This window comes from Homo sapiens, chromosome 13, assembly GCF_000001405.40.
Source record: "Homo sapiens chromosome 13, GRCh38.p14 Primary Assembly".
Lineage (NCBI taxonomy): Eukaryota > Metazoa > Chordata > Mammalia > Primates > Hominidae > Homo > Homo sapiens.
The window spans coordinates 60518098-60533552 of NC_000013.11; the positions used below are offsets into that span (position 1 = coordinate 60518098).

Consider the following 15455-nt stretch of genomic DNA (forward strand, 5'->3'; position numbering starts at 1 on the left):
GTTTAAGATGGCAGGCACAGTACCAGGTGGGAAGTGAAAATATACTACACTGCTGCCTCCTCTGAGACAGTGATGCAGTGAGGCACCCAAGCTTCATGGAGAGGCTGCCTCCAGTCCTCAGTCCTAGTCTGTAAGTGCTCCCAGCCCTGGCCCTGGACCTGTGTGTGGTATGTGAATCTTTAGGTGATTCTGGTGCTGGCTGTTGAGCCCCTCTCAAGCTGTGCATCTTAACACTGGAGGCTCCACATCTGAGAGGGACACACTGTCCTCACTGTGCCTTTTCTGAATTCCTGGCCCACAGGATCTGTGAGCATAATAAAGCGAATGTTCTTTTATGCCACTAAGTTTGAGTAATGGTTTGTTACATAACTGTAGTATTGGGGAAAAATCCCTAAAAATTGGCCTCACCTAGAATTGTGATTTAAAAAAAAACTGGTGAGTGAAAAACACCTTGTCCTGCCATTGATGTGTTGCTTTTTAAGTCATTATAGTATTTTGACTTTGTAAATACATGTAAAAAGGTAGTTAATAATTTCAGTGTCATACTTAATTGCCTAGGTATGTGCGAGTTCTAGGCTTCATCTTTTATGAACCTTAAATTATGCTTAATGCATTATATACATGGATGCTTTCTTAGACTAATAATGTATCCAGCACTAAGCTACAAACATCTCCAGACTTTACTAAGAGCCAAACCCAAAGGACCTGATTTTTCAGAACTAGTCTCTGTAAAATACCATGAAAAGAGGATGTGTAGGTTCCTTTTAGCCCACAGTTTTATTAGAATATTATTAGGGGCGTTTCTAAATTCAGATGATCCTAATATACTTTGCTGTGAATTTTTGAAAGATGTTATATCTAATATAATTGAGCATTAGTAAACTGAAGAAGTTTCCTCTGTTGTAGGGTTTGCATATTAAATCTACATTGTTTTAAATTAACTTAATTTCTTTGCATATGATAATATTATTACTTTTTTTGGTACTTGGATCTGTAGAAGATGGATATAGCTTTTCTTAGAATACTAGAACACATGAGCCTCTTTTTCATTTTTGCCATTATTTTCTTCCTCCTCAATTAATTGTCCGTTCGCTTATACATTTATTAACCATAAGATAAAATAATGTGTCATTTATTGAGCATCTGCTATGTGCCAGGACTATGCTAGGTGCTTTGCATACTATTAATTCATTTTATCATCTGTAAATGCAAAATATATATTATTTCCGTTTGACAGATAAGGAAATAGGTTTGTATATTAATATTTGTATTAAAGCAAAAATAACATAAGGTTATTTCTAAATGGTTTTTGACCCACAAGTCTAGTGCCTCGTATATAAATACCTGTTTATCAACAAGAGAGCCATATCTGACTTTATCTAAGTAGCTAAATTACTCAGATACATGTATTTTCATTTAATGGATCAATTTGTCCATTAGTAGTTTTTTTAACCCTGGCAGAAAAATATTTTTATAGTAATCCTAACCTGAGTTTCATGATGAAATACTGAAAATAACTCATGGTTATTAATGATTTAATGCCAGTAGTATAATGGTAGCTTTGTTGAGGTTTAAGAGGGAGGTTAATACTGGGGTCTGGAATCTACTCAGTTAATCCCCCAGCTCTACCCTGTGCTAGTTGTGTGACCTTGTCAAGCCTCTTTAGCTTCCTTATCTGTGAAATAGGGATGTTATAACTGTACTCTGAGGTAAGCTCATTTGGTTTTTTAATTATGTGAGAAATTTTACTAAACTAGAAATTTTTTTCTTTTTTGTATTTGTAAGGACTAGTTTGGGCTTTGCATGCATTTTACATGGGACTAAACAGGGCAATCTTTGCAGTTGTATTGTTGGTGTGTGTGGCACTTTTTCTTAGAATTCTCATGATTTGTTCATTTATAACAGCACTAGTCTTATGCTTTATGCTAACTTTTTAAAAATTGGCTTTTCTCAGTTTTCTTTTAAAAGGGGCTTTGAAACACCAAAAAATTAGTTGTTTGAACACTGGGCATCATAAATATGTTTATTTTGAGCTTAGTCTTCAATTTAATATGTGTTGTATCTATAAAGATTTTAATGAGAACAGGAAAACAATTGTATATATTTGAATAATTATACAAATTATAATTGAAAGAAAAATACCATGCCAGATTAAAACTAATGTTAATTCTTGTGATCATTTTTTCTGGGATCTGGTGTTTTTATTTAGCATAATGGACATCAACTTTATGATATTGGAATATACAATAATTTTTCCTTTGAAATTAATAATTAATGTTGATTATGGCTTTACTTAGAAGTTAAGCAGGTTTCTAGCCCAAGATCTTTGTATGTGTTGTTCTCTCCTCTTGGACGACTCTTCCCTACTTTCATCACATTTCTTCTCATTAGGGCTCACCTAAACCCCATTTCTCCACAGACGTTTTCCCTCTACATTGCTGTACTCCCCACTCCTCCTAGTTTTTTCATAAGTTGATTTCTTTCATAGATTTTATTACAGCTTTAAGCTACATTATTTGTTCTTTTTACCTATTTGTTGTCTGCCTCTGCCCATTATAACTAAGCTCCACAGGATAGAGGGCAATGGGTCTTAACTACTGCTTTCATATAGAGTGACTAGGAGAGCGTTGACGACACCACCAGCAGTTGATGCTCAGTAACTATGATGAGTAACAGTGAAGGAAAGAGGTAAGTAGCATCATCCCAATTTTACAAGGTCACACAGCTGCTCAGTGGTTAGGACTGGAATTTAATTCCAGTAGTCAGTCTAATTCCAAACGCTTTGTTTGGGCCCAGGAGAAAGCAGTTTTATATATATTTTCAAATTGAATCGTTACCATAATCCTGTGGAAAGAATCATTACTGATATTTTACAAATGAGGAAACTGGGGTTCTTTGTGACTTTGTCAAAGGTGCATTACTGCAAAACTAGAAAAGCAGTTTATTTGGTCTCAAGCTCAGTGTTCTCTAGTGCAAATCAGAGATGGCTTTTATAAGTTTACTTTTTGTGTGTTGTGCAATCTTTTTCTGTGATCATTTGAACTCAATCTAAATCTACCCTAATGTGCTTTGCTGCAAACTTCTCCTAAAGAAGTAAAAGTAAAGGAGTATATTTTCTATTTCAATCTTGCACCCTTAGCTAAGCCCAGGTAATGGTGTTAAACAGATAGCAATTTTGAACTTGGAGGCTTGTTTCATTCCCAGTATTTTCAGTAATTCTGTCTTTCTTTCAGCAAATATTTACTGAGTGCCACCTATTTGCCTGATTCTGTCGTAGCTAAGCACTGGAGAAAACAATGCTGAGCAAGACTCAGACCCTACTCTCAACGTAGTAACTATGTAAAAATATTTAAAGCAGCTTTTTCTTAAAAAAAAAAAATGTAATACAGAAATGAATGAGATACCTATAGTCACTAAACTGGAAAGATGCCCATGAGATACTGTTCATTTTAAAACTGAATTGCAGCCCACGAGATGTAGCATGAGTCTACTTTTTGTTAAAAATGAAAGTGTATGGGCCGGGTGCGGTGGCTCACGCCTGTAATCCCAGCACTTTGGGAGGCTGAGGTGGGCAGATCACCTGAGGTCAGGAGTTCGAGACCAGCCTGACCAACATGGAGAAACCCCGTCTCTACTAAAAATACAAAAAATTGGCCGGGCATGGCAGCACATGCCTGTAATCCCAGCCACTCAGGAGGCTGAGGCAGGAGAATCACTTGAACCCGGGAGGTGGAGGTTGCGGTGAGCCGAGATCGCACCATTGCACTCCAGCCTGGGCAACAAGAGTGAAACTCCGTTTCAAAAAAAAAAGAAAGTGTATGAATTATATAAAAAAGAGTAACCTCCAAAACTGAATAATTACTATATCTGGAAGTGGGATTTGATAAGCAGAAGGTGGAACTTTCTTCTATACATTTTTCTAATGATAGGATCAAGAGTAATTTTTTTACTTTTTAAATATTTCTTAGCATTTTTAATATAGAAAAAAATTAAAGGATGTAGAGAATATTTTTATATGGAGAATGTTTATAGATATACTATATTTTAAGTGAAAAACAGTATTAGAGTATGATTTTGATTTTCTGATGTATCTAAATTTTCTCTGTAATATGACTTTTATAATATGAGAATAAAGAAGTTTTTATTAAAGCATTCTTCCTGCCCTGTTTTCATTAAGAATCAAATAAAAACAAATAAACAAGAAAACTAAAGCAAGATAAAGATCCGAACTAAAAATAGGAGTTGGTGGTAGTGGGAATGTATAAATAGGGAAGCACCTTATTTTCTGATTTTTTGTCTTTCCTGATGTGTCATCAATTAAGTTTATTTGCTTAATTTTAATGCTAATTAAACATTTATTGGGTGCTTATTAAAGCCAGATACTGTCCTAAGTACTTTACATATGTTAATCCTCCGAGGTATGCTCTATTATTACCCCCATCTTAAAGATGAGGCTCAGAAAAGTTAAATATTTCACCTAAGGTTACAGAACTAGTAAGTGGTACCCCATGATAAAAAGCTATGTAGTCTTTCTTTTGCTATTTCTAAGTGCCAGTTTGTGAGCTCTAAATAGCAATCCAATTTTCAATAGAAGTTTAGGTTTTTCTGCGTTAATAGAAAGAGATTATTAATTTTAGGTCAGGATTCTGGCAGTCCTAGCGTCCAAATGTATTTTTCAGCCCCATCAGGGATTGTGAAAGAGCCTTTGTGATTTCTACATCTCACCAGAAATGAACAGATACAGGTGATAAAATTGAAGGTAACATGTTGTTGGTTACATTCTGTTTTTTTTCCTCTGGGTGGGCAGCTTGGCATAATGGAAAAATCATGTGTTTTAGCTTCAGTTAGATTTCAGTTTAATTCTGGCTTCAGCATTTTCTAGCACCAGCCTTTAGTTGAGGCACATTATTTTTTCACTTGCAAAATAAAGATGATAATACTGCCCTTTTAGGATGGCTGTGAGGATTACATGAAATTATGTAGGCAAAAGACCTTTAACATAGAGTCAGGCATATATTAGGATCTTAATAAATATTAAGGCATTTCTTCAGGTAGGTGTATCAGAATAAAATGAGGATTAGTCTTGGGAAACAAATTCTACCTGATTTTCTACTACAAAATGCAGGTACAACTGCTTCTGGAGAATATTCTGCAAAAAAGTATTAATATTTTAAGATGCCTGATTAATTTAGTACATCCTTATGTACAGATTTAAATGATTTGTGACAATTAATAAGTTTATTCTTAATTATTCTTGCATTTCAAATCATGGTGATGTAAAACATTGTAGTCAATTATCTCACAAACATACATTTTGAAAATTAAAATCTTGTAATAATAGGAATGTTTTCTCTCAAATCATACTAAACTCATATAGCATTCTTTGATTAGTTTTCTCATATGAGCTTTCCCCACCTTGGTCTTTTAGATCTTTTACATGTTTTCACAGTTTTGTCTATTTTGCAATACATTTTTCTTTTTTTTTTTTTTTTTTTTTGAGACAGAGTCTTGCTCTGTCACCCAGGCTAGAATGCAGAGGTGCCATCTTCCCTCACTGCAGCCTCCACCTCCCAGGTTCAAGCAATTCGCCTACCTCAGCCTCCTGAATAGCTGGGACTACAGGTGCATGCCACCACGCCCAGCTAATTTTTGTATTTTTAGTAGAGATGGGGTTTCACCATGTTGGCCAGACTAGTTTTGAACTCCTGACCTCAAGTGATCCACCCACCTTGGCATCCCAAAGTGCTGGGATTACAGGCGTGAGCCATAGCACTGGTCCTGTAGTACATTTTTCTATCACTTTTTGCTAACCTTTTCTTTTTTCTGCTATTTAATATTAAATGTTACCCATTTCTACTTGTGCTTTTTTTTTTCCACCTTTTCCTTTGGGGTGATTTAAAAAAATGTGATGCATTGTACTCTGCTGACTGTACAGAAAAATATCTTAGTATATTTATTAGAGTGATGGCAGACCTGACCTGTGCTGTCCATTGGTATCTAATGTAGTTTAGAATCATGATGCCTTCTCAAAAAGGGGAGGTGAGAACTTAGAATCTGACTGGGGAACCAAGGAGCTGCCTTTTCAGTTGATTTGGGATATATTTCTTAGTTTATTTAAAATTGCTTTTCTGGCTGAGCACGGGGCTCATGGTAATCCCAGCACTTAGGGAGACCGAGGGCGGGTGGATCACTTGAGGTCAGGAGTTTGAGACCAGCCTGGCCAATATGGTGAAACCCCGTCTCTACTAAAAATACAAAAATTAGCCGGGCGTGGTGGTCTGCACCTGTAATTCCAGCTACTTGGGAGGCTGAGGCAGGATAATCACTTGAACCCGGGAGGCGGAGGTTGCACTGAGCCGAGACTGCACCACTGTACTCCAGCCTGGGCCACAGAGTGAGGCTCCATCTCAAAAAAAAAAATAAATAAATAAATAAAAAAAGAGAAAAGAAAAGAACGATTGCCTCTCCCACAATTTAATAATTGAGTATATTTGTTATGTGTTTAATAGATGAGCTCAGTTTCAAAATACTTACTTTATATATGACTTTATGATTTAACTAACCTAAGATAAAAGGTATTGGGCTTAAGGAAATCCAAGAATGATTGGATGATGAATCCAAGAATGATTGGAAATCCAAGAATGACTTCTTAGGTATTATTTCATTTTGAATGAAATGGATATATATGAAAACTAACTTCTTTAAAAAACACAATTTTCGGCCAGGCGCAGTGGCTCACACCTGTAATCCGAGCACTTTGGGAGGCCTAGGCGGGTAGATCATGAGGTCAGGAGTTTGAGACCAGTCTGGCCAACCCCGTCTCTACTAAAAATACAAAAATTAGCCAGACGTGGTGGCAGGCGCCTGTAATCCCAGGTACTCTGGAGGCTGAGGCAGGAGAATCACTTGAACCCGGGAGGTGGAGGTTGCAGTGAGCCAAGATCACGCCACTGTACTCCAGCCTGGGCAACAGAGCAAAATTTTCTCTCAAAAAAAAAAAAAAAAAAAAAAACCCCACAATTTTCACTTTCTACCTCTGTGAGTTTATTTTACTATATTAAGGGAATTCTTTTTTTTTTTTTTTTTTTTTTTTTGAGACGAGATCTCTGTCTGTCGCCCAGGCTGGAGTTCAGTGGCACAATCTTGGCTCACTGCATCTTCCACCTCCCGGGTTCAAGCAATTCTCCCACTTCACCCTCCCGAGTAGCTGGGATTACAGGGCCGCGCCACCAAGCCTGGCTAATTTTTGCATTTTTAGTAGAGACAGGGTTTCACCATGTTGGCCAGGCTGGTCTCGAACTCCTGACCTCAGGTGATCCACCTGCTTTGGCCTCCCAAAGTGCTGGGATTACAGGGGTGAACCACCGCACCTGGCCAGGAATTCTTATTTTTAAAAAATAATTTTCTTTATAAATTTTACTCTCACTATATTATCTCAGCATAGTAATGGATATGAAGTATGTTCATTATTAACAAAATTACTTGTTTTATTCTGTAGTCTAATGTACATCATCATCAATTCAGTAACTGAAAATAATATTTTAAGTACCAAGTGTAATGACTTTTCCTCTTTACTATCAGCAATTTCCTAAGTTTGTTTATTTGTTAAATAATAAGCTGTTCAGGAATTTTTCATTCTCTTTTCTAAGATAGTACTTTTGATGTAAGAAGGCTGGTGCATGAGAGTGCTTGAGTACATAAATGAAAGTGTTAATTGTTAGTGAAAACAATAATAAAAAATCAGAAATTCTTTAAGTAGATTGGATCTGGAACAAAGTGAAAAGATTTTATATTTTCCTATTAATATAGTTCTCCAGTATAGTTCCATAGACCCATAGTACCCCTTAATTCTAAATTGTAGATTAGGAAATTTTTTGTATTTTCCTTTTAGAAGAATTGAAATCAAATTCTGCCACATCTGCCAAGCCTGGCTGAACTTTCATTCTGTATGCATCGTTATTCATCCTTTATCTGTAGTCCAGGATACTTAGTTACTCTCGTGATGACTTAATATTTTCTCTTCCTCCTGATTATCATAAATATTAGGGGCCCTCAGTGGAATAATTTAAGAAAAATTCTTCCCTAAACAGCAGATCTGAAAAGCTTACTCCCCAAATATTTATTCAATGTACTATACAAGGGACCTTAGTTTACCTCTCTCTGTTAAGCCTCATAACACCTGTATCATAAAACTATCTTGGAGACTATTGATAATGTATATAAAGTGCTAGTGTGGGCTATGTAATACATAGCAGATAATCAACAGGAGGCAAATGCTGCTTTTATAAAAATGTCTGGAACAAAAGCCAATATATGCCTTCTGCTGAAAGTGCTCATTTGTGTCCTGATTATGGTCACTGCTATTCTTCCCGAAATCTTTACTCCTGGGCAGTAAACAATGCCAGCAGAAACTAAAAGTGACCATTTTTCTTCTCTCTAAAGAAAAATTTAATATTGACTGCATTTGTTAAAATAAGACATTGTGTTATGTTTATTAGGCAGATATTCTTGGGGGAAAGTTTTTTTTTTTTTTTTTAAAGATCTCTCTTATGGCCTTGGCTAATATTTGAAATCTTATATCTTAGAAAAATCTTCATTCTTTGTCACAGTTAAGGGGTGGTTTGACTGGATTAATTTTTTTCCTTAGAAAATTTTCCATAATTTTAAAAGTATTTAAAGCCTTTTGGCTTCTAGCTTCCATTGGTTCGGTTGAGAATGGATTTTTTTGGACCACTTTGAGTCTTTTTTTTTCTTCGAGATGGAGTCTTGCTCTGTCACCCAGGCTGGAGAGCAGTGGCACAATCTCGTCTCACTGCAACCTCCATCTCCCAGGTTCAAGCGATTCTCTTGCCTCAGCTTTCCAGGTAGCTGAGATTACAGGTGTGCACCACCACACCCAGCTAATTTTTGTATTTTTAGTAGAGACAAGGGTTCACCATGTTGCCCAGGGTGGTCTCGAACTCCTGGCCTCAAGCAATACACCTGCTTCAGCCTTCCAAAGTGCTTGGATTACAGGTGTGAGCCACCATGCCTGGCCTGACCACTTTGAGTCTTGATCTTTAATCAGTGACCTGTTTTGTCACTCAGTAACCTTTAAACCTTTATTCCTGTTGTTTTAAACAATTTACCAGATACCTTTTGGCCTCCAGTGGCTGTTTGGAAATGTTTGGGGAAAGTTTTGATAGTCAACATCCCTGGGGATGCTGGGGGAGGGTCCTTTTGGCATTTCATATCTGTAGGCCAATGAAGTTAATTTTCTTGCAGTTAATTTCCTTGCAACAGAGGGAACAGTCTCACCCAAGATGTCAGTGGAGGCCCTCTTTGGAAGTGTAACCTTGGGGAAATATAAGAATAATTACAGCTGCATGTTGATTATGATGTATGACAAAGGAAACAAGACACATACACCAAAGACCAATGAGTATGTTTGGTAATCATGTTATAGACATGCTATGTGAAATTATGGAGGAAGAAAGTATAAATGACATGGTACAAATTGAAACAGAATAAAAATCACTATGTGAAATACAGTCATTAAAAATTACCTTTCTATATTTATCACGTTATTTCTTGGACATTATAGGCAGTATTATGCTTAGTAATGTTTCTGACACTTTTTCGGTATTTCCACTTTTGACACTTTTCTGTATTTCCAAGTAGTACCCACTCTTAATTACTTTAACAGATCAAGAAAATTAACCCTTTTGTATAGTAGGATATCTATTTGTAACATAAACTCTTTTTTATAGTAGGATATCTGTTTGTAACGTAAACACTTAGCAATTCCAGATCCAGAAAGATTTGAAAAGAAACATTTTTGCAAAGGCTAGAACATGACTGATAATAATAGCTATATATTTCTAAATTAGAGTGGCATTCAGAAAGAGTTGATCAGGGTTGTACTTGTGCAGTTTCATAGCAGTTTCTGAGTTAGCAATTTGCAGTTCTATTTCATTAATGTTTTAGGAAATGATTTACCAGAATAGCATATGTAGGTAGCTGTATTATAAGAATTTGGATTATCCATCATTTTTCTGTGGTCCCTTTTACTACTTTACTTTATTAATGTTGCTGACTAAGAAAACTGTACATTAGAAATGCAGGACTCCAAGGAAGCAAAGAAGGAGTAAGATAATGAGGTAGGAAGATGGAAGAAGATTTTAGAATAGTAGTTTGATAATTTTGTATTAATAGAATAAAGCATTTTAAAATAATTATTAATGCAGAGTCTTCATCTTAATTTGCATATGGTATACTTTTACCTTTCAGAACCTAAATCACAGCCACAGCAGCTTCATCAGGGACAATACAGATCATCAAATACTGAGCAAAATGGAGTAAAAGATAATAATCATCTGAGACATCCTCCTCGAAATGATACCAGGCAGCCAAGAAATGAAAAACCGCCTCGTTTTCAAAGAGACTCCCAAAATTCAAAGTCAGTTTTAGAAGGCAGTGGATTACCTAGAAATAGAGGTTCTGAAAGACCAAGTACTTCTTCAGTATCTGAAGTATGGGCTGAAGACAGAATCAAATGTGATAGACCGTATTCTAGATATGACAGAACTAAAGATACTTCATATCCTTTAGGTTCTCAGCATAGTGATGGTGCTTTTAAAAAAAGAGATAACTCTATGCAAAGCAGATCAGGAAAAGGTCCCTCCTTTGCAGAGGCAAAAGAAAATCCACTTCCTCAAGGATCTGTAGATTATAATAATCAAAAACGTGGAAAAAGAGAAAGCCAAACATCTATTCCTGATTATTTTTATGACAGGAAATCACAAACAATAAATAATGAAGCTTTCAGTGGTATAAAAATTGAAAAACATTTTAATGTAAATACTGATTATCAGAATCCAGTTCGAAGTAATAGTTTCATTGGTGTTCCAAATGGAGAAGTAGAAATGCCACTGAAAGGAAGACGAATAGGACCTATTAAGCCAGCAGGACCTGTCACAGCTGTACCCTGTGATGATAAAATATTTTACAATAGTGGGCCCAAACGAAGATCTGGGCCAATTAAGCCAGAAAAAATACTAGAATCATCTATTCCTATGGAGTATGCAAAAATGTGGAAACCTGGAGATGAATGTTTTGCACTTTATTGGGAAGACAACAAGGTATGGATGCTTTAAAGATATTATACACTAATATTACGAAATGTAACATTCTAGTGGGACTTTATAGAAGCTGTCACTTTGGAACTATGAGTCTTTTTCTACTATTGTACCTGTTTAAAATCTTTGAACAGATTTATAGATATATAAAGGATAAACAAAATATTTAATATTTTTATGGATGCCTAGGGACAATCTGTCCCGTAAGATTTGGTTAAGTTCGGTTTGGTTTTAGCTTACATGCCAGAAAAGTATTGTAAAAGTAATTATGTGAAGTTGAGCTTTATTTTACTTATCATCAACTGAATTACATATGTTTGCTTTTCACTCTGGTAAAATTACACTGATTCACAAGGAAGAAAATCAGTTGAGAGGCACAAAGTAAAATTCTGCAGATTTTCAGTTGAAGAAAATAGTACACATTCAGCTTACTTTTTTAAAAAGTTAACATATAAGTTAATTATTTATTTTATAATAATTTTAAAATTATTAAACCATTGCTTCTCGGCCTTTTGGCTAAGATCGAGTGTAAAAATTATTAAACCAATTTTTAGTTTTATATTATATGGTGGCTAAAGGCAAAGAAAGAAATTGTAGGGGAAAGAAGGAAGGAAAGACAGAAGATGAGGGCAAGAAAGAGTGCAGTGGGTCAAGTAAAAGCCTACCCAAGAGATAGAAGACCAGCCCAGTGAGAGCAAGAAAGGGAAAGGGACAGAGGGACCATCAGAGAGAAGGGGACTTTGCACATTTTTTTCCTTCTGCCCAACATGCTCTTCTATCAGCTACTCTTCTCATCCTTGAGGGCTTGGCTCAAACATCACCTCCTAGAAGAAACCTTCTTTGACCTGCCCCATCCTCCTACTTACATTATTCTCTTAATCAGTGCCTTAATTACTTTTTAAAATTTATGACAACTTGTAAATATTTTTTGTTTTGGTTCTTGAATTGGTATCTTTTTGCACTACCATGATATTAAGTTCCTTGAAGGCTGGACTGTGCCTCTCTGGTTTCCGTCTGTAGTCTTGCTTCTTTCACAGTATAGGGACTTCATAATTATTTGTTAACTCTGTTAATTAGTTAATTCTGGAGAGAGCAATTACATATGAGAAAAGTAGGATGGTGTGGGGATGGAGACAATAGCAAGGTAGTAAAAACGTATGTAAGGGAGTTACAGAGCGAAGGGTCTGGGAGGATGTGAGAAGCAACTCAAAAGAGGAAAAATATTTTAAATAATTTTTTTTTTGAGACGGAGTTTCACTCTTGTTGCCCAGGCTGGAGTGCAATGGCATGATGTCAGCTCACTGTAACCTCCACCTCCCAGGTTCAAGCAATTCTCCTGCCTCAGCCTCCTGAGTAGCTGGGACTACAGAAATGCGCTACCATGCCCAGCTAATTTTTTGTATTTTTTTTTTTTTTTTTAAGTAGAGACAGGGTTTCACCATGTTGGCCAGGCTGGTTTTGAACTCCTGACCTCAGGTGATCCACCCGCCTCGGCGTCCTAAAGTGCTGGGATTACAGGTGTGAGCCACCACGCCCGGCCCAAAATAAATATTTTATAGGTTGCAGTTGATACAGTAAGGATGTGCCTATGAGAGTGTGTGGCTAAAGGGAATGGTGTAAGTAAAGGTAACTGAAGATTTCAAGGAATTGAAATTCACACTAGGGGTTTGGGTGGATCCTTTAATAAGGATGCTGTAGGATTTGGGGTCAAGAACCAGGCCTTCTTGTGCTCATTAAATAATGAGGTATAAGCAGAGTGTTAGATGTTGCCTGATGATAGAATAAGGAGGAGTACAGAGTGAAACAGCTAGATGGCATAGGCTTTTAAGATTTTTGTGTGACTGGGATGATGATTATTTAGAAACAGCATCTCTGTCACATCTTTACTTAAGCCTGGAAAGAAGGGAAGAGACAGCACTGGGTGTCTTTTCTTTTTCTCTGGAAAAGCAAAAGCCTTCCCAGGAATACCAGCAGATTTGGAACTATTTCACATGGCCACTTCCTGGCTATTAGGAAGACTTGAAAAGCAGATGCAGGTGGTCTTCACTATCCAGATTCTTATTCTTCCAACTCAGACTACTTTCCAAAATTCAGGAACTGTTTGTTTTGAGTAGTGGGAGATTCATTATATTTAGATATTTCTCCTTCATGGTGGAGGCAAGAAAAAGTGAAGTAATTGGAAAGCAGTGTTTGTTGAGCCAACAGTAGCTACCCTAGAAATAATAGTCACTGTATCTGATGCTCCTGTGAAAGGTTAAGGTGAGGATGGAAAAGTGTTTTCTGTATTGGATAATGTGGGGTTACTGGTGACCTTGACAAGAGCAGAAGTAAGAGATTGGAATTCACGTTCAAAATGTTTGAAAGCCTTGGTAAGTGACTCAGGCTTTCCATTGAAATCCCACAAAGATCATACCCTGGGTAGTAACTGCAAAATTAAAACAGGCAACCCTTACAGAGTCAAAAGCAACTCTCTACAGGATCAGGGATATCTGCTTATATTCTCTCTGCCAGTAGAAAATGTAACTGTTTTACTGGGAAAAAAATAACATCTTCTACAACCTTTCCAGTACTTATCTGCAGTGTCTAATATCCTTTAAAAAGTTATGAGCCATAGTTAAAAAAAACAAAGAATGAATGAATGACTATGAATGATTATCAAAAACAAAAAAGAATAGGCCTACAGATAATTAGATTGAGCAGAGTTCTTTAACAAATATTAATCTAATATTCAACAAATCATAACTGAGTAGCTACTGCTATGTGCCAGGTGATTGGGGCATATCAGATAGTTATGGCTGTGCTGTACTAAAAGGCCTCCAAATACCTGTTACAATTGTTAATAAAGGTCTAATGTTAATTGTAATTGTATAAAAAATTAATACTGTCCATCAGTAATAGCTGTGGTGAAAAAATTAAATTAAAAAAAATCAAAGTACCAAATTTATTGCCTCTGCTGAATATGTTCAAAATGTCATGTAGCATCTAAAAAACAGTACCTAACAATTCAGTACCTAACAAAACAGTACCCAAAGTGTTTTGAGTGATTGGAGCATTCTTAGGGTAACTGAATGATCTTCTACGATGGCTACTTTGATTCAGATTAGATGTGTACTTTCAGTTGTAGTGAGGAACTGTGGACTCTAAATAGATTACACCACCCTTAACCATTGGGAAAAAGGTAAAGAATACCCTGTGAAAGAGATGGAATTAGTTAATCTTCTGAAACCACAAATTGAAGAGGTGGCTTCTAAATGTCTTGTCAAGAATGGACAACTTTCCAGTGTTTTTTAGGCAGAGACAAGGGTAGACATTTAAGAAAAGGAATTGAGTGTAACTATCATTAAGATACCATAATCTTCTTAATTGCATTGTAATGATATTTTGGAGATAATTAATACATTAGTATACATATTGCTTAAAAAATTTCCTCACAATATCTTGCCTTCTTTCTAACTTCATTTCCATAGGAGAATTTGGGAACTTCTGGAAAGTTCTTCTTCCTGTAGACTGCTAAACTAGTTCAGCTATTTTTTTCGTCAACTGAAATATTACAACAACCTCCATATTAGTTTCCTTGCCTGAAACTTTATTCCTTTTAAATTTGTCCTCAGTATTGCCACCACTGTGATCCTGGTCTTAGACCATGTCATTCCTTCTAGTTAAAGTCTTCACTGACAGAATAAATATAGATTTTAGCATTTTTATTGGGTTTATATCCCAATAAACCCATCATAAGTTGAAAATATCATAAGTCAAAAATACATATATCTTAGTCATGCTAAGATATAGCATGATTCAGTGTTTGTTTAATTTACCTGAACTGGCATAATTTGGCAACTCAGAACAATTCACAGAACACAAAAGTGTGGGGCTAAGAAATAAAGGAAGAGGGGAGAGATAGGAAGGTATAACAAGAATTCTAAGATGAGGAAAAGTACAGCATCATGTCTCTAAACTTGCTAACATTCAGACCTGGAAAGGAAACACCGTGGATTCACTTAATACCTTTGTAATATTAAATATACTAGTTAAAAACCAACTATTTTGAGGGTAACTCATTTTTTAGAAGGATGTGAAAAATATGAATTTTTGTTGCCTGTAGCATTTTCTAATTTTAGTGAACCTCTTAAGAGATACTATTATTGGCTGGGCGCAGTGGCTCATGTCTGTAATCCCAGCACTTTGGAAGGCAGAGGCGGGCAGATCACTTGAGGTCAGGAGTTCGAGACCAGCCTGGTCAACATGGTAAAAACCTGTCTTTACTAAAAATACAAAAATTAGCCAGGTGTAGTAGCACGTGCCTGTAATCCCAGCTACTCGGGAGCCTGAGGCAGGAGA

The 15455-nt window shown here is 36.2% G+C and overlaps 1 protein-coding gene and 1 pseudogene across 14 annotated transcripts in view; both read left to right on the top strand.

Annotated features, from left to right (window-relative positions):
- The window catches only part of TDRD3 (tudor domain containing 3), a 178347-nt gene that overhangs the window by 122565 nt on the left and 40327 nt on the right, over window positions 1-15455 (top strand). For 12 of the 14 annotated variants that reach the window (XM_047430685.1, XM_024449417.2, XM_005266560.3 and 9 more), the window contains exon 11: window positions 10270-11120. In XM_047430685.1, coding sequence (XP_047286641.1) covers window positions 10270-11120 — 851 coding nt within the window. Of the gene's footprint in view, window positions 1-9264; window positions 9422-10269; window positions 11121-15455 lie in introns of those variants that run through there. The other 2 variants (XM_047430688.1, XM_047430687.1) reach the window with 1 other exon arrangement.
- Window positions 11614-11684, top strand: LOC124903274 (uncharacterized; annotated as a pseudogene).